Source organism: Homo sapiens, chromosome 4 (assembly GCF_000001405.40).
Source record: "Homo sapiens chromosome 4, GRCh38.p14 Primary Assembly".
In the NCBI taxonomy this organism is placed as follows: Eukaryota; Metazoa; Chordata; class Mammalia; order Primates; family Hominidae; genus Homo; species Homo sapiens.
This window is the reverse complement of record NC_000004.12, coordinates 154,911,231-154,934,687: the sequence shown is the minus strand read 5'-3', so window position 1 is coordinate 154,934,687 and position 23,457 is coordinate 154,911,231. Positions and strand designations below refer to the sequence as shown.

Genomic DNA, 23,457 nt, shown 5'->3' with positions numbered 1-23,457 from the left:
TCAAACCACATGCTCTTGAATAACCAGTGAGCCAAAGAAGAAACTAAAAAGAATATTAAAACATTTTGAGACAAATGAAGGTGGAATGCAGCAAAAGTAGTAATAAGAAAAAAGTTCATGGCCTACATTAAAAAAAGACAGAAAACCAGGCACAGTTGTATGTGCCCGTAGTCCCAGCTACCTGCAGGTTGAAGTGGGAGGATCACTTGTGCCCAGGAGTTTACAGCTGTAGTGTGCTATGTGCCCCTATGAATAGCCATTATGCTTCAGCCTGGACAACATAGTAAGATCCCCATGAGACAGACAAATAAATAAATAAATAAATGAGACAAATAATAAATAAATAAAGACAGATCTCAAGTAAACAACCTACCATTACACCTCAAAAACCTGGAAAAAGAACAAACTAAGCCGAAAGTTAGCAAAAGGAAGGAAATAATAAAGAGCAGAGCAGAAACAAATGAAACAGAGACTTAAAAAATAGAAACGATTGATGAAACTAAGAACAAACAAAAGGCAAACAAAATTAACAAAACTTTAGCTAGAATAAAAACAGAAAAAGAGAAGACTCAAATTTAGCAAATTATAAATGAAAGAGGCAATAAAACAAAGAATACCACACAAATATAAAGAATTATTAGAGAATACTATGAACAAGTATATACTAACAATTGGATAACCTAGAAAAAAATGGATAAATTTCTAGAAATATACTACCTACGAAGACTGAATCATGAAGAAATACAAAATCTAAATAGACAATAATGAATAGATAGATTGAATCAACATATTTAATCTAGTTATTAGTATAAATATCAAAGCACAGTATAATCCCAACAAAGCCCAGGATCTGATAGCTTCATTGTTGAATTCTACCAAACATTTACAGAAGCATTAACATCAATCCTTTTCAAATTATTCCAAAAAATTGAAGACGAGGAAATGCTTTTAAATCATCTTAAAAAGCCAGTATTACACTGCTATCAAGCCAGAAAGGGCATTACACAAAAATAAAATTACAGGCCAGTATCCCTGATACTGTTCATGGAATTTTCATGAAAAAATCCTCAAGAAAATGCTAGTAAACCAAATTCAACAGCACACTAAAAGAAGCACACACCATGTTCAAGTACGATTTATCCCCAGGGTGCAAGTATGGTTCAATATACACAAATCAATACATGTGAAACACCATATTAACAAAATGAAGAACAAAAATCATATGATCATCTCAACAGAGGCAGAAAAATCATTTGACAAAATTCAACATCCTTTCATGATACAACCTCTCAACAAATTAGTTATAGAAGGAATGTACCTCAACATAATAGAGACCAATATATGAGAAGCCCACAGCTAACATCATACTCAATGCTGGAAAGTTGAAAGCTTTTCATCTAAGATCAGGAATAAGACAAAGATACACACTCTTGCCACTTCTATTCAATATAGTACTAGAAGTCCTAGCCAGGGCACTTAGGCCAGAAAAAAATAAAGGTATACAAATTGGAAAAAAAAAAAAAGGTAAAATTGTCTCTGTTTCCAGGTGACGTGATCTTGCAGATAGGAAACCCTAAAGACTCCACAAAAGATCTTTATAACTAATCAGCAAATTCAATAAAGCTGCAGAATATAAAATCAACACACAAAAATCAGTTGTATTTCTCTTCACTAACAACAAACCACTTGAAAAAAATTAAGAAAACAATCCTAATTATAATACCATAAAAATACCAAGGAATAAATTTAGCCAAAGAAGTGAAAGATCAGTACACTGAAAACTATAAGATATTGATAAAAGAAATTGATGAAGACACAAATAAATGCAAAGATATCCCATGTTCATTAATTAGAATATTTAATATTGTTAAAATGCTCATATTACACATAGCAATCTACAGATTCAATGCAATCCCAATGACATTTTTCACAGAGACAAAAAAAAATTCTAAAATTCATACGGAATATGAAAAGACTCCAAACAGCCAAGCAATCCTGAGCAAAATGAACAAAGCTTAAGGTATCACACCGCCTGATTTCAAAATATGCTACAAAGCTATAATAATCAAAACAGTATGGTTTTGGCATAAATATAGACACATAGACCAATGGAACAAAATAGTCCAGAAATAATTCCACTTATTTTTAGTCAATTAATTCTTGACAGAGTTGCCAAGGGCACACAAGGGAAATGATAGTCTCTTTAAAAATGGCATAGAGAACACTGGATAACCACATGCAGAAGAATGAAATTGAACCATATTTCACCTTATTGAGAAATTGAACCTTATCTCACACCATGTTAAAAATTCAACCCAAAAAATCGATTAAAGACTTAAACATAAGGCCTGAAATTTTTAAATTACTGGAAGAAAACAGGGGAAAACCTTCTTGACATTGATCTTTGCAATGACTTTTTGGATATGACGCCAAAAACACAGGAAACAAAAGCAAAAATAGACAAATGGGATTGTATGAAAATAAAAACCTTCTGCACAGATAAAGATACAATCAATGGAGTGAAGAGATAGCCTATTTAATGGGAGAAAATATTTGCAAGGCATATATTCAAAAAGAGGTTAATATTTGAAACAAAGAACTCAAACAGCTCAATAGCAAGAAAACAAATAAGCTGATTTCAAAATGGGCAAAGGACCTGAATAGGTATTTCTCAAAAGAAGACACAGAAACAGCCACCAAGTAGGTGAAACAATGTTCAACATCACTAATCATCAGGGAAATAAAAACCAAAACCACAATGAGGTATCACCTCACACTAGTTCAAATAGCTCTTACCAAAAAGAAAAAAGATAGTGAGTGTTGGTGAAGATGTAAGGAAAAGGGAACCCTTTTGCACTGTTAGTGAGAATGTTAATTGATACAGCCATTATAGAAAATACTATGGAGGTTTCTTTAAAAATTAAAAACAGAACTATCATATGATTCAGCAGTTCCACTTCTGAGTATATTTTCCAAAGGGAAAAAAAATCAGTATTTCAAACAGAGATCTGCACTCCCATGTTTATTGCAGCATTGTTCACAATAGCCAAGATATTGAATCAACCTAAGTGCTCATGAACAGACAAATGGATAAGGAAAAAGTAATGTATATTTATAATGGAATATTATTCAGACTTTAAAATTTTTTTTAAAAATTCTGTCATTTGTGACAACATGAATTAACCTAGAGGACATTATCCTGAGTGAAATAAACCAGACCCAGAAAGACAAGTACTGCATGATCTCATTCACATGTGGAATCTAAAAAAGTGGAACCCATAGAGCAGAGAGGGAAATGAAGAGATGTTGGTCAAAGTGTACAAAGATTTATTTATAAAGGATGAATAAGTTCTGGAGACCTAATATACAGCATGGTGACTATAATTAGTAACATCAAATTATAGACTTCAAATTTGCTAAGAGAGTAGATCATAAATGTTCTCACCACACAACAAAAGGTAACTCTGTGAGGTGATGGATATGTCAATTAACTTGATAGTGGTAATCATTTTACAACATGTACATATATCAAAACATCACATTGTACACATTAGATATATACAGTTTTATTTTGTCAATCATAACTCAGTAAAGCTGGGAGGGGAATAAGTAGTTGTGTATATATTAAATATAGCTCCTTGCACTTTGGGAGCTTTGCACACCTGAGGTCAAGAGTTCAAGACCAGCTTGGGCAACATGGTAAAACCACGTACCTACTAAAACTACAAAAATTAGCTGGGCATGGTGGCATGTGCCTGAGGCAGGAGTAATGCTTGAACCCGGGAGGCGGAGGTTGCACTCAGCTGTGATCATGTCACTGCCCTCCAGCCTGGGCGACAGAGTGAGACTCTGTCTCAAAATAAAAAGTAGCTTCCCTTTCACTTTGCCTTCAACCTGCTTCAGATACAGGGTGACAAATGTTCTCATGTGAATTATCAATTTGCCGCGGACCTTGCTGGACTGAACAAAGTAGGACAAACCTGGGAATAAAGACAAAGACAAAAGAGTATATTTGGAAGAAGGGGTCGGGGGCTCCTTGCTTCTAGTGAACAAGGGCCCTGAGCTTCTATAGCCCTTCATATTTATTGAGTAAATGAGATAGGGAGAAGGGGGTGGTTGTGGTCAGCTGCTTGACTGGGTGCAGGCCTGCAGGACTGCATTCTTTGAACAGTAGTCTCCAGGTATTCCAGTAGATAACCTCAAGGAGCATGACACCAGGGAGTAACTGCCCTCAGCAAACCTTCTGGCAGCAGGTGCAGTCGCAAGTTTGCCCACATTCTGCATTCATGATAAAGTTTGCTGTTCGATCATATAGCCTCCAGCAGAATGCTGTGTTGGTCACGACCCACAGACCTTCAGCTTCCTACATCAGTTGATTTGTTTTGTGTAGTTATAAAGCCTTATTGTGTCCAACTGAGTCCTTCACATGCATGCTACTGTTATATTTGCCCAAAATTATACTGTGTGAATGTTACAGTTTGAGTTCTTTGGGAAACATACACTGAGGAAGTTTATTGAAAAGAGCTCTTGGCCTCAACAGCTGAGGAGGAGGAAGGAATTAGAACTGGACAGAGTGGGTAGAAGAACTGCACTGTAGTCACACAGAGGCCCCAGATGATCCTGCTGGGAGTTCCACGGCTGAGATAGGCCTTCAGCTTAACCTCAAGTTGAGGCAAGGAATCCAGTCTTTATATTCTGTCTTGGGCCAGTCATTAGACTCAGGCTAACTGGGAAGCGGGTGAGGTATAACTTTAGGCCAGGCTATTCTCTTCAACTTCCTGGAGAGGGACTCAGTTGAGAGCATTGAACCACCAACCTCTCAGCAACTGAGGGAATGAGTGTTGTGTGCTGGTTTAGGACAAGGGTAATATTCAAATATTTAATATTCAGTAATGACCCATCAAATGAGGTCCCCGATAAATGGCCCCCAGATGTTGGGAACTTTTTGGATACCAGCCCTCACTTAGGGTATTCCCTTTCTTGGAAAGGGGACATAGGCACTGCCCACTGAGCCCTGTGGAATTATTAGTCCATTTTTAAAAAACAGATCTACAAAACTTGACAGAAGTTTGATAAGCTAAATGACCACAAAGAAGATATTTTCAGTTCAATCAAAATAAAAATATAAACAGAGAAAACACTTTGGTTCTGCATGACGTTCTTCTAAAACAATCAACTCTGAATGCCATTCACTTAGAAGAGTAAAGATAAAAAGTCATTATCTAAATGAAATCAGATGTGACATTTTACAATGACACTCTCCATTTTTCATAGGGTATTAGTTACCCTTTCAAAGCAAGAAATCAAACATTTGGTCCATGGGGAAATTTGTTTCCCACCTACCTGGGTTTACAGACTGTGACTTTTTTACCCCAAGTTTCAGGTCTAGCTGAAACAGTGAAGAGGTATTTTGAACTAACTACAGTTTATTTTCTTTGAGTTCTCCAATGGTGAAGGGTTTTGTTCTCTACGCTATTAAGAACCAGGTTAGCTGATAGACACTGCAGCTACGAGGACTAACAGGGCCCCTATTTTAAAGAATATTGCAAAATAAGAGGATGTGGATATTAAGAGCACTGGCTTTTATTATTTGCAATTTAGAAATTATAGCGGGTGCATCTTTTGTTGAGAAATATCTTTACAGTAATATTTATCAAGTAATGAATATTAGAATAAAGATTTTTAAAATACCCTATTTATGTTTTTCAATTTTCAGAACAAATGTATTACTTCCGGTCACACAATCTTGTTTTCACATAATTTAGAAACATAGTCTAGAATATAATTTTCAAATTCTTAATATAAATCCTGGAAGTCCATTCACTTGTGAACTTCCACTAGGAGGAGCTACGGGAACACGGAGCAGATCCTCAAATGCACAGGCATGGGCAAACAGCAGTGATGGGAAAGCTACCCAGTGAGCAAAACTTAACTTGAAGACCAGTGTAATATGAAGGAGAACAGATGCTACATAGATCATCTTATTATTTTTAGTTTTGGTGCCTCCCAAAGAAGATGTGCCTTTGGGCACATCTTGAAGAGAAATATAATGGTGTAGAAGTAACAATAGATTCTACTCTTATCTAAAGAGCAGTTTAAGGGCAAATATCACAGGACAACTGTAAAATGTATCATATAAAGATGACAATCTCTTAACACCCTTCCCTCATTTCCTTCTCCATTATGTTATCTTGGGTGTTCAAATCCCAGAACAATAAAGGGCCATCAAATGCCTCTTTCATTACTTTTGCAATGACTTGATTAATATATGCCATAAATCGTGACTCATAAACTATTAGAAAACCAGAGCAGTCTTAGAAAAAGCCCAGGTTTGCAGCTCTACCATATATATACTCTATGTAATCTTGAACAAGTCACCTGATCTCTCTTCTGTCAGATGAAGATAACAGAGTGGATCATGACAGTTGTGAACACCATGGATAATATTTGAAAAATGCTTGATACATCTTTAGCTCTTAATAAAAGGCAATTATTGAGGAGTTATAGAAGAGTCCCAGAGTATGGCCTAGCCTCAAATATCTTGCTGATCCAATAAATGAATGCTGACCCTGGGAGTTCATGTAGTATAGAGGAAGTGATGAAGTTGCATTTTACAAGAATGCTTTTGGCCAAGGCACTCCAACCAAGCAGAAAACTTTTTGTTAAATATATCTGCTCTCTACCTGTTATATTCCTCCCTCTAAATGTTAGGCAACTTGGTTGCCCCTCCCTAAAGTCTCTGCCCCATCTCTGTATCCAGGGTCAATTTTTTTTCATTGTCAGTGGGAAGTAAAGAAGCTCCGGGTCCACATTGCAGTGAATTTACCTCAAGAACAAATTATTTCTGATGCAGTACTAAACTGGAGCCATAGTTTTAGAGACTGGGATCCTTCCTTTAACCCAAATACTTACCAAATGGCCATTATTCCCCATCTTAATTAACCCTATAGGCCACCCAATTTAAAGTGGCCATCCAGTCAATGTTGCATTATCCTCAGACACCAAACCCCTGACATTGACCCGAGTCCTAGGCAGAGACCCTGGCACATCAGCTATGAATGTGTGCCACTTACATCTCTTATCAGAAAAGAACTTGTTGCTTATCTGTAGAGCATGCAGAGTGCCTCTAACTGCAGTGTCTCCAGGATCTGGCCTCAGCTGGAGAGCTTCAAACCACAAAGTAGGCCTGGCGAAGTCCAGATAATCCAATAGGGATCTTCAGAGCAAAGATTGTTCTTTACAGAAGACTTAGACTGAGAAGAAGTGGTCAGGCCCAATAGCCCCATGGTGCTTAGTTATCAGAACAGCTCCTCAGGCAGAGTCTGGCTTGGCATCTCAATGCCTGCTCTCCAGAGGACCCAACTGACATAGTCACCCACTTACCACTTCTTCCCTCTAGCTGCTAGCCCTAGTTACTGCCTCTCTCTGGGCAGGGGCTGATGCTTATTGGTTCAGGCTAGTGGAAAGCAACCATTCTATAGCATTTTCTGTCTACATATCAGCTACACATAAAGTAGAAGCGCTTTCTCATCCTAAAAGTCTGAACCCCAAAGATGCCTTTCTGAGGTCTCTACACACATTTCTTTTTCCAGAGGAAGACTCTTTAATAATAGCATCAACAATAACAACATTTACCTATATGCAGGACATTATAACTTTCAACACAATTTCATAAGCAATAGAATCATTATACTTTCAATCTAAGCAAATTCAATTATTCACATTGAGAAGAAAAAGTGAGAGAGAGCAACTTAAACAACCTGGTAATTCTGCCTGCCAGATAAACAAAATAAACCTTTCCTATGAGTGACTAATGCAGTCAAGCCTGAAAAAGTAATCACATGTTCCAGAAAACTTCAGAAAAATGCATGAATAATTTTAGGAGTTTTCTGACTAATGACAAAGAAGTGGAAGACTTTGCCTAGTTTTTCAGGTGAGTGGGTGGCATTGAAGTAATAAATTGAAGAATTAATACAAACTCCAGGAGGGATCCAAGATGGCCAGTTAGAAGCAGCTGCAGTCAGCAGCACTCACAGAGAGAAGTGAAAACGGGTGAATTCAGCACCTTCAACTGAAGCATCCAGGTTCTCGCACTGGGACTGACTAGGAAAACAGCTCAACCCATAGAGAACGAAAAAAAGCATACAGGGCCAATGGGTGCCAAGGAGCCAAAGGAATTCCCACCCAACCAAAGGAAGCAGTGAGTGATTATGCAACCCTGCCCAGAAAACCACACTTCTCCCAAGGATCTTTAGAACCCACAAATGAAGAGATTCCCTTGTGAGCCCATACCATCAGGACCTTAGGTCCAATACACAGAGTTGTGTGGAGTCTTGGCAGAGCAGTCACTCAGGCACACACAGAGATCCAAGAGGTTTTTTTGTTTGTTTGTTTGTTTGTTAGTTTTTGTGAGACAGAGTCTATCTCTGTCACCCGGGCTGGAGTGCAATGGCGCCATCTCGGCTCACTGCAAACTCCACCTCCTAGGTTCAGGCGATTCTTCTGCCTCAGCCTCCCAAGTAGCTGGGATTACAGGCGCCCACCACCACAGCTGGCTAATTTTTTGTATTTTTAGTAGAGATGGGATTTCACCATGTTGGCCAAGATGGTCTCGATCTCCTGAATTCATGATCTGCCCGCTTTGGCCTCCCAAAGTGCTAGGATTACAGGTGTGAGCTACCGTGCCTGGCCAACCCAAAAGTTTTATATACTCCAGCCCCAGGATCCCTGGCAAGGTGGGAAATATGTCTGTACATATCCCTAGAAAGGGAGCTGAATCCAGGGAGATAGGCAGTGAGGTTCTGTGGGCCCCACTTCTACACACTTCACAAGACCCATTGGCTTGAAATCCCAGCCAGCCAACAGCAGTGGATTGGAGTCTGCCTGAGACTGTCTGCGTTTGGCAAGGTAGGGGGATGGCCACCATCTCTGTGGTTGGTAGACTCAGTTGTTCCAGCCTGCCAGCTGTGGAGAATACAGAAGATCCAGACAAGGAAGGGTCCCCCACAATTTCCAAATAGTGGCCAGACTAGTTCTTTAAGTAGGACCCTGATCCATTCCTTCTCACTGGGAGGCACCTCCCTGCAGGGGCTTTGGCCACTCCAGCCAAGGTTCTATGGACAGCTTTGATCTCTCCTGTGTCAGAGCTCCCAAGGGGAGGGCCAACTGCCAGCTCTGCAGTTCAGTCTATTCAGCTGTTCCAAACTGCTGGCTTTGGAGAATACAGGCGGATGGATAAGGAAGAGTCCCCCCCAAATACAGCACACCTGCTCCACCAAAAAGCAGCTAGACTGCTTCTTTGGGTGCATCCCTGATCCCATTCCTCAAGACAGGGTGAGACCTTCCATGGGGGTCTCTAGCCACCTCCTACAGGTGTGTGCAGGCTCACAACAGGTCAGTACCCCCTGGGATGGAGCTTCCAGAGGAAGGAGGTGGCTGCCATTTTTTCTGGCTGCCATAGGACTGCAGAAGCCCTATGGTAGAGCGGCCTGAAAAGAAAAACAAAAAGAAAACAACAACAACATCAACAAAAAAGACCCCAAAAAGCCTCATTCAAATGTCAGCATCCTCAAAGATTAAAGGTAGATAAGCCCACAAAGATGAGAAAGAATTAATGCAAAAATGCTGAAAACTCAAAAAGCCAGAGTCCCTCTTCTCCTCCAAATGACTGCAACATCTCTCAGCAAGGGCACAGAACTGGGCTGAGACTGAGATGACTGACTTGACAGAAGTAGGCTTCAGAAGGTGGGTAATAACAAACTTTGCTGAGCTAAAGGAGCATGTTGTAGCCCAATACAAAGAAGCTAAAAATCATGATGAAACAATACAGGAGCTGATAGCCAGAATAGCCAGTTTAGAGAGGAACATAATCAACCTGATAGACAGGAGAAACACAACATGAGAAGTTCACAATGCAATCACAAGCATCATTAGCAGAATAGACCAAGTGGCGGAAAGGATCTCAGAGCTTGAAGACTGTCTTTCTGAAATAAGACAGGCAGACAACAATAGAGAAAAAAGAATGAAACAAACCTTCAAGAAATATGGGATTATGTAAAGAGACCGAACCTACCGCTGATTAGGGTACATGAAAGAGACAGGGAGAATGGAACCAAGTTGGAAAATGTCAGGCCTCTGAGCCCAAGCTAAGCCATCATATCCCCTGTGACCTGCACATACACATCCAGATGGCTGGTTCCTGCCTTAACTGATGACATTTCACCACAAAAGAAATGAAAATGGCCTGTTCCTGCCTTAACTGATGACATTATCTTGTGAAATTCCTTCTCCTGGCTCATCCTGGCTCAAAAGCTCCCCTACTGAGCACCTTGTGACCCCCACTCCTGCCCGCCAGAGAACAACCCCCCTTTGACTGTAATTTTCCTTTACCTACCCAAATCTTATAAAATGGCCCCACCCCATCTCCCTACGCTGACTCTCTTTTCGGACTCAGCACGCCTGCACCCAGATGATTAAAAGCTTTATTGCTCACACAAAGCCTGTTTGGTGGTCTCTTCACACGGACATGCTTGAAATTTGGTGCCATGATTCAGATCAGGGGACCTCCCTTGGGACATCAATCCCCTGTCCTTCTGCTCTTTGCTCCGTGAAAAAGATCCACCTATGACCTCGGGTCCTCAGACCCACCAGCCCAAGGAACATCTCACCAATTTTAAATCAGGTAAGTGGCCTCTTCTTACTGTCTTCTCCAACCTCTCTCACTATCCCTCAACCACTTTCTCCTTTCAATCTTGGCACCATCCTTCAATCTCTCCCTTCTCTTAATTTCAATTCCTTTCATTTTCTGGTAGAGACAAAGGAGACACGTTTTATCTGTGGACCCAAAACTCTGGCGGCGGTCACGGAGTCGGGAAGGCAGCCTTCCCTTGTGTTTAATCATTGCAGGGATACCTCTCTGATAATTCACCCACATTCCAGAGGTGTCTGACCACGCAGGGACACCTGCCTTGGTCCTTCACCCTTAGCGGCAAGTCCCACTTTTCTGGGGGAGGGACAAGAACCCTGACCCATTCTCTCCATGTCTCTACCCCTTTTCCACTTTTCTGGGGGTCAAGAACCCCCCAACCCCTTCTTCACCCTTAGTGGCAAGTACCACTTTTCTAGGGGGCAAAAACCCCCAGATCCCTTATTTCCACACCCTGACCTCTTATCTCTGCGCCCCACCCCTTATTTCCATGCCCCAACCTCTTATCTCTGTGCCCCAACCCCTTATTTCCATGCCCCGGCCCCTTTCCCACTTTTCTGGAGGGTAAGAACCCCTGAACCCCTTCCCTCCATGTCTCTACTCTCTTTTCTCTGGGCTTGTCTCCTTCACTATAGGCAACTTTCCACCCTCCATTCTTCCTTCTCCCTTAGCCTGTGTTCTCAAGAACTTAAAACCTCTTCAACTCACACCTGACCTAAAACCTAAATGCCTTATCTTCTTCTGCAACACCACTTGGCTCCAATACAAATTTGACGATGGCTCTAAATGGCCAGAAAATGGCACTTTTGATTTCTCCATCCTACAAGACCTAAATAATTCTTGTTGTAAAATGGGCAAACGGTCTGAGGTGCCTGACGTCCAGGCATTCTTTTACACATTGTTCCCTCCCTATTCTCTGTTCCCAATGCGACTTGTCCCAAATACTCCTTCTTTCCCTCCCACCTGTTCTCTCAGTCCCAACCTCAAGCTTCACTGAGTCTTTTTAATCTTTCTTTTCTACAGACCCATCTGACCTCTCCCCTCCTCCCCAGGCTGCCGCTCACCAGGCTGAGCCAGGTCCCAGTTCTACCTCAGCCTCTACTCCCCAACCCTATAATCCTTTTATCACCTCCTCTCCTCACACCTGGTCCAGCTTACAGTTTCATTCTGTGACTAGCCCTCCCTCACCTGCCCAGCAATTTCCTCTTAAAAATCTGGCTGAAGCTAAAGGCATAGTCAAGGTTAATTTTCCTTTTTCTTTATGCGACCTCTCCCAAATCAGTTAGCAGTTAGGCTCTTTCATCAAATATGAAAAACCCAGCCCAGTTCATGGCTCATTTGGCAGCAACACTGAGATGCTTTACAGTCCGAGACCCTAAAAGGTCAAAAGGCTGTCTTATTCTCAATATACATTTTATTACCCAATCCACTCCTGACTTTAAATAAAACTCCCAAAATTAAATTCCGGCCCTCAAACCCCACAACAGGACTTAATTAACCTCACCTTCAAGGTGTACAATAATAGAATAGAAGCAGCCAAGTAGCAACGTATTTCTGAGTTGCAATTCCTTGCCTCCGCTGTGAGACAAACCCCAGCCACATCTCCAGCACATGAGAACTCCAAATGCCCGAACCACAGCTGCCAGGGGTTCCTCCAGAACCTCCTCCCCCAGGAGCTTGCTACAAGTGCTGGAAATCTGGCCACAGGGCCAAGGAATGCCCACAGCCCGGGATTCCTCCTAAGGCGCATTCCACCTGTGTCGGACCCCACTGAAAATCAGACTGTTCAACTCACCTGGCAGCCACTCCCAGAGCCCCTGGAACTCTGACCTAAGGCTCTCTGACTGACTTCTTCCCAGATCTTCTCGGCTTAGCAGCTGAAGACTGACACTGCCTGATCGCCTCGGAAGCCTACAGGACAATCACAGATGCTCTAGGTAACTCTAACAATGGAGGGTAAGTCCGTCCCCTTCTTAGTCCATACAGAGGCTACCCACTACACATTACCTTCTTTTCAAGGGCCTGTTTCCCTTGCCTCCATAACTGTTGTAGGCATCGATGGCCAGGCTTCTAAGCCTCGTAAAACTCCCCAACTCTGGTGCCAACTTAGAAAACATTCTTTTATGCATTCTTTTTTAATTATCCACAACTGCCCAGTTCCCTTATTAGGCCAAGACATTTTAACTAAATTATCTGCTTCCCTGACTATTCCTGACTACAGCCGCATCTCATTGCTGCCCTTCTCCCCAACCCAAAGCCTCCTTTGTGTCTTCCTCTCATATCCCCCCACCTTAACCCACAAGTATGGGACATCTCTACTCCTTCCCTGGCAACTGATCACATGCCCATTACCATCCAATTAAAACCTAATCACCCTTACCCTGCTCAACGCCAATATCCCATCCCATAGCATGCTTTAAAAGGATTAAAGCCTGTTATCACTCACCTGCTACAGCATGGGCTTCTAAAACCTATAAACTCCCCTTACAATTCCCTCATTTCACCTGTCCTAAAACCAGACAAGGCTTACAGTTTAGTTCAAGATCTGTGCCTTATCAACCAAATTGTTTTGCCTATCCACCCCATGGTGTCAAACCCATATACTCTCCTATCCTCAATACCTCCCGCCACAATCCATTATTCTGTTCTAGATCTCAAACATGCTTTCTTTACTATTCCTTTGCACCCTTCATCCCAGCCTCTCTTCGCTTTCACTTGGACTGACCCTGACATCCATCAGGCTCAGCAAATTACCTGGGCTGTACTGCCGCAAGTCTTCACAGACAGCCCCCATTACTTCAGTTAAGCCCAAATTTCTTCCTCATCTGTTACCTATCTCGGCATAATTCTCATAAAAACACATGTGCTCTCCCTGCTGATCGTGTCCGGCTAATCTCCCAAACCCCAATCCCTTCTATAAAACAACAACTCCTTTCCTTCCTAGGCATGGTTAGTACGGGCAGAATTCTTACACAGGAGCCAGAACCGCACCCTGTAGCCTTTCGGCCCAAACAACTTGACCTTACTGTTTTAGCCTAGCCCTCATGTCTGCGTGCAACGGCTGCCACTGCTTTAATACTTTTAGAGGCCCTAAAAATCACAAACTGTGCTCAACTCACTCTCTACATTTCTCATAACTTCCAAGATCTATTTTCTTCCTCACACCTGACGCTCCCTGGCTCCTTCAGCTGTACTCACTCTTTGTTAAGTCTCCCACAATTACCATTGTTCCTGGCACGAACTTCAATCTAGCCTCCCACATTATTCTGGATACCACACCTGACCCTCATTACTGCATCTCTCTGATCCACCTGATGTTCACCCCATTTCCCCACATTTCCTTCTTCCCTGTTTCTCACCCTGATCACATTTGGTTTATTGATGGCAGTTCCACCAGGCCTAATCGCCACTCACCAGCAAAGGCAGACTATGCAATAGTATCTTCCACATCTGTTATTGAGGCTACCACTCTGTCCCCCTCCACTACCTCTCAGCAAGCCAAATTAGTTGCCTTAACTCAAGCCCTCACTCTTGCAAAAGGACTACGCATCAATATTTATACTGACTCTAAATATGCCTTTCATATTCTGCACCACCATGCTGTTATATAGGCTGAAAGAGGTTTCCTCACTACGCAAGGGTCCTCCATCATTAATGCCTCTTTAATAAAAACTCTGCTCAAGGCCGCTTTACTTCCAAAGGAAGCTGGAGTCATTCACTGCAAAGGCCATCAAAAGGTGTCAGATCCCATTGCTCCAGGCAACGCTTATGCTGATAAGGTGGCTAGACAAGCAGCTAGCTTTCCAACTTCTGTCCCTCACAGCCAGTTTTTCTCCTTCACATCAGTCACTCCCACCTACTCCCCCGCTGAAACTTCCACCTATCAATCTCTTCCACACAAGGCAAATAGTTCTTAGACCAAGGAAAATATCTCCTTCCAGCCTCACAGGCCCATTCTATTCTGTCGTCATTTCATAACTTCTTCCATGTAGGTTACAAGCCGCTAGCCCATCTCTTAGAACCTCTCGTTTCCTTTCCATCCTGGAAATCTATCCTCAAGGAAATCATTTCTCAGTGTTCCATTTGCTATTCTACTACCCCTCAGGGATTCTTCAGGCCTCCTCCCTTTCCTACACATCAAGCTCAAGGATTTGCCCCCACCCAGGACTGACAAATTGACCTCTCTCACATGCCCCGAGTCAGAAAACTAAAATACCTCTTAGTCTAGGTAGACACTTTCACTAGATAGGTAGAGGCCTTTCCTACAAGGTCTGAGAAGGCCACTGCAGTCATTTCTTCCCTTCTGTCAGACATAATTCCTCCATTTGGCCTTCCCACCTCTATACATCATGATAGCAGACCAGCCTTTATTAGTCAAATCAGCCAAGCATTTTTTCAGGCTCTTAGTATCAAATGAAACCTTTATATCCCTTATGGTCCTCAGTCTTCAGGAAAAGTAGAACAGACTAAAGGTCTTTTAAAAACACACCTCACCAAGCTCAGCCACCAACTTAAAGAGGACTGGACAATACTTTTACCACTTTCCATTCTCAGAATTCAAGCCTGTCCTTAGAATGGTACAGGGTACAGCCCATTTGAGCTCCTGTATAGACGCTCCTTTCTATTAAGCCCCAGTCTCATTCCAGACACCAAACCAACTTGGACTGTACCCCCGAAAAACTTGTCATCCCTACTATCTTCTGTCTAGTCATACTCCTATTCACCGTTCTCAACTACTCATACATGCCCTGCTCTTGTTTACACTGCCGGTTTACACTGTTTCTCCAAGCCATCACAGCAGATATCTCCTGGTGCTATCCCCAAACTGCCACTCTTAACTCTTGAAGTAAATAAATACTCTTTGCTGGCAGAACTATGCTGAATCTCCTTAGGCACTCTCTAATTAGATGTCCTAGCTTCTTCCAATTCTTAGACCTTTAATACCTGTTTTTCTCCTTCTCTTATTCCGTTTAGTTTTTCAATTCATACAAAACCGTATCCAGGCCATCACCAATAATTCTAAATGACTAATGTTTCTTCTAACAGTCCCACAATATCACCCCTTACCACAAAATCTCCCTTCAGCTTAATCTCTCCCACTCTAGGTTCCCACACCACCCCTAATCCCACTCGAAGCAGCCCTGAGAAACATCGCCCATTATTTCTCCATACCATCCCCCAAAATTTTCGCTGTCCCAACACTTTACCACTATTTTGATTTATCTTTCTTATTAATATAAGAAGACAGGAATGTCAGGCCTCTGAGCCCAAGCTAAGCCATCATATTCCCTGTGACCTGCACGTACACATCCATATGGCCTGTTCCTGCCTTGACTAATGACATTCCACCACAAAAGAAATGAAAATGGCCTGCTCCTGCCTGAACTGATGACATTATCTTGTGAAATTCCTTCTCCTGGCTCATCCTGGCTCAAAAGCTCCCCTACCGAGCACTTCATGACCCTCCACTCCTGCCTGCCAGAGAACAACCCCCCTTTTTCCTTTACCTACCCAAATCCTATAAAACGGCCCCACCCCTATCTCCCTTCGCTGACTCTCTTTTCGGACTCAGCCCTCCTGCACCCAGGTGAAATAAACAGCCTTGTTGCTCACACAAAGCCTGTTTGCTGGTCTCTTCACACGGACGCACATGAAAATACTAATGCTGATACTGCTTTATTTGTTTGTTTATTTTTGATACAGGGTCTTGCTTTGTTGCCCAGGCTGGAGTGCAATGGCTTGATCATAGCTCACTGCAACCTTGAACTACTGGACTCAAGGGATCCTCCTGCCTCAGACTCCCGAGTAGGTGGGAAGACAGGTGCACATCACCACACCCAGCTAATTAAAAAAAAAAATTTTTTTTTGTAGAGATGGGGGTCTCGCTTTGTTGCTTAGGCTGGTCTTGAACTCCTGGCATCAAGTAATCCTCCCATCTTGGCCCTCACTTGCCACTATGCCCAGTCTGATGCTGTTTTTGCTGTTGGATTTAAGACTATAATATTACACTACCTTCCACATACTCTATTCAAGCTTCACCGCATCCTTTGTTTGGACTTGATTTCACTATAGAAGCCAACATATTCATTAGATTTTATATGACTGTTATTCACAAATACCAGAAGGTATCATGCATAGGGTCATTGTTTCCCCAGACCTTGCGCCCCAAAGCAATAATTCTACCAAGAACAGGCAGGATATCTAACTCCCCCAGCCTCCAGCCAGAACATAATAGGACAATGTGCACGGGAGAAAAAAAAACCTAATGATTTCTCTTTTATTGTTGTATAGCTCCTGGGGTCCTCATCTATATACGCCCACTCCAGCAGGACCTGATAAACTTAGCAGAGCGAGATAGCAGAAACGTTCCATTTATTTTGCTCCAGCAGAAAGGGTTAAACATAATAGTAACAAAAGCTTTTTGTAAATGTTCAAAATGAATTTTAGCTTCTCATAAACATCATATAGGGTAGATTCAAGAGTTTTAAAATTCATTCAGACCCTTTATACACAGCAAGCCAAATCACTCCCCAGTGAGCAAGCTGCAGGTGGTAGGTTTCCAGGGACTTGCAATGACTGGTGAATCCTCAACAGGGGAACTAGAAATAGAGAACAGTTTATCAGTCAGACAAAATTAACCACCTCCACCCACTGCCAAGTGCAGACAGTCTAAAAGTCATAAGCCAAATGACCCTCTAAGGTGGTCCATCCCAGGGTAAGTAACAAATTAGATTACTTATGCTGCTTTATAGTTTTCAGGTCACCTTTGAATATGTTAGCCTCTGACTTTAACACATTTGTTGAGTATTTAACTGTGTTCTAATTTTTTATCTTCACAACAATCCTATTTCACAGATGAGGAAACAGAGGCAGATTTAAAAACTTACCTAAGTAAAACAGCTGATATGGCCAGAATTCATTGTCTGTGTCACCTTTACAGAAGATCCAGAATGCAAGTTCAATGAACATTTTTGTTACGTTCACCTTGTATCTCCAGTGTCTAGGACACTCACTAGCACATGAAATGAATTCAATAAATATATTTTGCGTACATAAGTGACTCCTTCTACTAGACAATTCTCTTTCAAATTCTATTCATAAATTAAAGAAAGCTTATCATTACATCTAGAGCCTGCAAGGGAAAAAAAAACGCAACATTGCTTAAAATAATTGTTTTTTTTTTCTAAGTGCTTTAAGTGCAAACATTTCCCACAGGTAAGAAGACAGCATTGTAAAAACTATGTATGTAGTTACACGTTCATTTTAAAGAGACCTTTTATCTGTTCTTCTTGCTCACATATCTTTATAATAATTCTTATAATGGAAAACCACAGAAGTCCCATGGCAACAGGGCCTATGCTTTGTCAAGATGAGACGCAGGTTTCATCATTTTGTGATTTGATTTACCCAGGAAGCAAGGAAGAGGAACTGAAGGAAGAGATAAAAAAGAAAACAAAGGAAAACAAGGACAATCATTATCTCAGTGAATCATCAATATTTTCTAGATGGATGCTTCCATGGAGTTAATAAGTTGGTAGGCAGTCTAATATATCTCCTATTCTCCCACTGCCTACCATGGTAATTTACTGTCCTCCTTAGTATTTCCGCAAACACACCTAGATACTGCCTTCATCCCTGGCAACTTCCAATGCCACCCACAAATAGTGCCATGATTTGCCTGATTTAACACATGAATGAACACCCACAGTGTCCTTTGACTTCTGTCTCTGAGCTCCCCTTACTCCCTTCCTGTCTCTGATCTCTCCTCCCTTCCCCCTAAATGCCTCCATCCTCCAAGGTTCCATCTCAGTTCTCTGCATCTGGGCACTCAGCACCCGCCCAGTGATATTATGCCTTGTCACAGCATCAGTACTCTCCCTTTGCAAATCTCGATCTCCAGGACTAGCTCTATTAAGGGCCATAACATCTTCCCAAAGGGACGGTAGATCAGAGCTCAAATGCCACAGAAATGGGGACAAAGGGAAGAACTGAGATAAGGCCACTTGCTGTGGGATTTAGGAGGTCATAGGTGATGTGCAGGAGAACAGGTTTATGAAGTGTCTCGATAAGCCATATTAGGAAGCTATGTATTGTCTGTCCAGCCAAAAAAGAAAATAAAAACTGGACTACCCTCTAATCTTTCCCCATTTTGACATTACCCTTCTTATCCAACCTTTCTTCTTCAACTACTCATGAACACAGGATCTCAGTCAATCTCATACTTTGCTTCTTACCTTCCCTACTACTGTTAATTACATTTCATCCATTCCCAGAGGCTTATCTCACATTTTACTCTGTCTGCTGGCAATCCTTTGGATCCCTCTGAATTACTGAATTCAGTGGATCATACTGAACTACTCCTCCTTAGTATATCCTAGGCTATTTCCCTTTTGTTGTGAACTGAACCTAATTCAATTTGAACATGCACAATTCTTAAAATAGGTAATTTTTATAGGTAACCCTAATCTCTAAAAATGTGATGTGTGTGAGAGTTACCTTCTCCCCCTACAATCTCTCTACTGGACTATAATAAAAGCAAGTCTCTGACCAAATTCTGTTACATGCTTTTTGTTTGTTTGTTTGTTTGTTTGTTTGTTTGAGATGGAGTCTCCCTCTGCTCCCAGGCTGGAGTGAGGTGATGAAATCTTGGCTCACTGCAACCTCCGCCTCCCAGGCTCAAGCAATTCTCATGCCTCAGCCTCCCAAGTAGCTGGGACTACAGGCATGCACTACCATGCCCAGCTAATTTTTGTATTTTCAGTAGAGATGTATTTTAGTTGCCCAGGCTGGTCTTGAGCTCCTGAGCTCAGGTGATCCACCTGCCGAGGCCTCCCAAAGTGCTACAATTACAAGCGTGAGCCACTGCACCAGCCATGGATATGCTTACTAAACAAGTATTTATTAGCAAGCAGGCACACAAGTGTTCATACAATCTGCTTGCAAACTCCACGAACTCCGATTCTCTGTGCTTTTAGTGTTCCGATTACCAGCATACATCAAATGCTTAATTGAGAAAAAATGATAATATTCTAGAGGATGGATTCTGTTTCCTTCAGTTGACATCAGGAACCAGAATCCTCTGACCCAATTGCTGGACCCAGGGGAGGATTAAATCTTGGATGTCATCCCTACTGGCCTCATTAGATTCTTATATTTTGTTGATGTAAAGGTAGAAGAGTGAGGAGTGTTTCAAAGTTATGTTAACCAATTTATTCATTTGAATACCTTGAATTTCACCAATAAGAACTCATTTCTTATATTTGGTGTGTTTTTAAGCAAAGTGTCACATGTAAGTTGACATTGTTTGTTTAACAAACACTTGTATAACATCTACTATGTGGCAGATACTAATCTAAACACTGCACATATTAACACATTTAAACCTCATAGCAGCCTATAAAGTAGGCACTAATATTATCCCCATTCTACAGATGCAGGAACTGGCATGCAGATAAGTTAAGTTACTGAGATGTTTTAACTAGTAAATAGCAGAGCCAGGATTTGAATTGAGGCAGTCCGATTCCAGGGTTCATGGTCTTCACAAGTTCCCTGGTCATGGAAGTGTCTGTAAAAGTTGCCTCTCAATATAGACTTCCTTATTGGAATGCTAGCTGGCCCAATTGGAAAAATAGGACTATCTGGGCTGTGGCTTAACCTAACTAATAATGATAGCCTTAATTTCCCACTCTTTATATTAAAGTATTTAAAGTAAATAACTAACACAACACTAATTAACTCTGCTTTATTAGTATTTCAGCAGAGAAGGCTAGTTTTACTACAGCGTACTCACTATTTAGACTTGTAGAACTCTAATTTTAACTTTTTTAATTTTTATTTTTCTCAAAACAGATTCTTGCTCTGTTGCCCAGGCTGGAGTGCAATAGCATGATCATAGCTCACTGTGGCCTCAAACTCTTGGGCTCACGTGATCCTCCCACCTCAGCCTCCTGAGTACCTGGGACCACAGTCATGAACCACTGCACTCAACTAGGCTTGCAGATCTTGATTCTTGAGCCCTTCTGAACTTTTCAGTTTCCGATTTACATCACCACTGTCAGATGACGATGTAGCTTTTGCTTAAACGTACCCATTCGAGAGTACTCACTCTCTTGGGGCCGCCATCATGTTGGTACTCATTTCTGGCTGTTGGAAAGTTCCTTCTTGCATTAAATGGGAATTTTTCTTATAAACATCCACTGAATTGATCACAGTTCCATATGACCATTAAGGAGTCAAATTTATGGAAATAAGATATGCTTCACACAAGACAGTAACAAAGACATGATGTTTCCCCAGCGGTGCACGCTGCCCTCATGAAGAGTATGGGTCACTGGGGAAAAGTCTATTGTGACGGGGTAGAGACTCAGCAAGCTCATGAATATAGGAGTCAGAGAAGAGAGGTCAGTAAGGACTGCTGTGCTTAGGGAGGGTTTTGGCAGAGGTGTTGCCAGACTGACTAGGTTCATAGAACACACACAAAAAATTGGTGAATGAATTAATGATGGATGGATATTAATACGTGATGTCTAAGCATGGTTTCATTTATCAGAATTCCTGATTCCTGCTTCTGATTGATCAAGATCCAGCTGTGGAAACACCCTCCAAAGAGGGAAATTGCCAATTTCTCACAGTTTGAGACAGAAATACGGACTAAGCAAGCCTTGAGTGATTGTTTCATGCTTCTGAACTTGCCTCCAATGAGCTGCTGATTTTGAACTGCAAGTTGGGGCTTGCTAAGTGGTTTATACTGATCAGGGTTGCTGTGTATGCCCATGCAAGGTATGAAGAAGAACCTATAGATTTGTCCAAGTTTGAAAATCCAAGTCTTCACATTAACATTAAGAATAACAGAAAGAGTATTACTAACAATAATCTTGGGCAGTCTTTCACAATTGTAAACATTCAGTCCTTTTAACCCAGATTCACACAGAATTCTTTATATGAATAGAGATTCACAGAAGTTGTGACATTTCTAAAATCAAACATTTAGTGAATACCAAATCCGATACCAGAGTCCAGGTATTTCAGACACTGGTTCAAACAGTAAACATAGAACCATGAGTTAAAAAAATAATGTTGCTCTGTACGCTTAATATCTGTGCATTTCACTGCATATAAATTGTACCTCAATGAAAATACACTTTAGTAATTGCCAAAAACAGATGATTGAGCCTGTTATAAAGGCGAATAGTAAATGGAAGAAGAATCTATGGAGTGCCTTCACTCTGCCCGACCCTGTGGTCATTGTGTTCTGTTCATCCTCTCACTGTCCTCTCCTAGAAGTCAAGGATCTGCAATTTACAGATAAAGAACGTAAGTCTTGGAGAAATAACTTACCTTCATAGGAGACCTGAGATTCTAAACCAAATGTTGATAACTCCAAAATCAGTGCTTTTTCTACGTTATTAGTTTTTCCCAAAAATGTGCTATGGATACCCCCTGGCAGTACATGTGATAATTTTTGGTGTACAAAGATAGACATTTTCTGTGTTAATTTAATGTGAATTTGGTGTGAATAAAACAGTTTTTAAGGGCATGATACAAAATATCTTTAAAATTAAATGTATTGAAGTTTCTTAAATGTTCAATTTAAAGGAAAACATAAAATATTACCAATAATAATACAATTGGTTTGCAGATAAGTTTCTATATGGTGCCATGGCAAAAATTTAAAAGGCAGCATCAGAATGTCTGAAATTTGAGAAACCTAGAGCTGCGTCATGCTGCCTCCTCACAAAGCAATTAACAACTTGGTCAGCAGCTTAAATTGAGCCCCAAACTGTTATCCACGATACTTTCTGTACCTGGAAAAAAAAAATTCCAGAGGAGTGATATGAGCAAGATGGCGGAACAGAACATCTACAGTCCTCATCTCCAATAGAAACATGGATCTGGCAACTATCCACAGACAAAAGTGCCTTTAAGGGAGCTTCAGAATCCAGATAGGAAGTTTCCACACACCAGTGGAGCCCAAAACTGAGAAAAGCCACTTAAAGAAGACAGGCCTGTGCCTTGTTAGTAGGCTTACTGACCACAGAGCCAGCTGCAGAACAGGAAGCAGCCCCATCCCCTGTGGTTGGGGCTCCAGCCCTACTGGTCCACAGTCCTGCCACCAGCCCTGTCCGTGTGTGGAAGCAGCAGGAGCCATGCCCATTCACGCTCCCAGTGGTAGGGCCCAACAACCACAGACTCAAATGCAGACCGAGAGCAGCTTTATGATCCAGCTCTAGCCCCACTCAACCACAGTCTCAGAGGCAGTTTGTTTGAGACCTGACAAGGGAAGGTCTTTTACTGCTAAAATCAGCCTGTAAAGATTAAAAGAGATGGCTCCTCCTTCAAAAGCACCAACACCAATGCAAGTCCACAAGGATCAAGAAGAATTAGATAAACATGACACCACCAAGGGAAACTAATAAATCTCTATTCAACTCTAAAGAAACAGAGATCCATGAACTGTCTGAAAAATAACTCAAAATAAACATCTTAAAGAAGCTCAATAACTGCAAACACATGAGCACATGAGCACTGTTAAACACCTGAAATGATGATGAATAAATGGATGGATGGTGCCAGAAACTGTCTTGAAAAGAAAGAGAAGAATAACAAATATAATAAAAGCACAACTTGTTGCAAAATGGTCCCTGAAACACCAAAGAGTGAAATTCTAGCTGCCAAGAGGGAGCAGCAGAGAGTTGTTTCCAGGGCTCTGAAAGTCAGCAGGATAGCTCCTTAGTGCTTTCCAGCCAGAATTA

The 23,457-nt window shown here is 41.5% G+C and overlaps 1 annotated feature.

The window, feature by feature from the left end:
- Positions 18,101–18,735: an enhancer, noted in NCBI's record as "OCT4-NANOG hESC enhancer chr4:155837105-155837739 (GRCh37/hg19 assembly coordinates)". NCBI's record gives its function as "activates a minimal SCP1, AML or CMV promoter by ChIP-STARR-seq in primed H9 embryonic stem cells {active_cell/tissue: H9 hESC(primed)}" and the evidence as "EXISTENCE:reporter gene assay evidence [ECO:0000049][PMID:30033119]".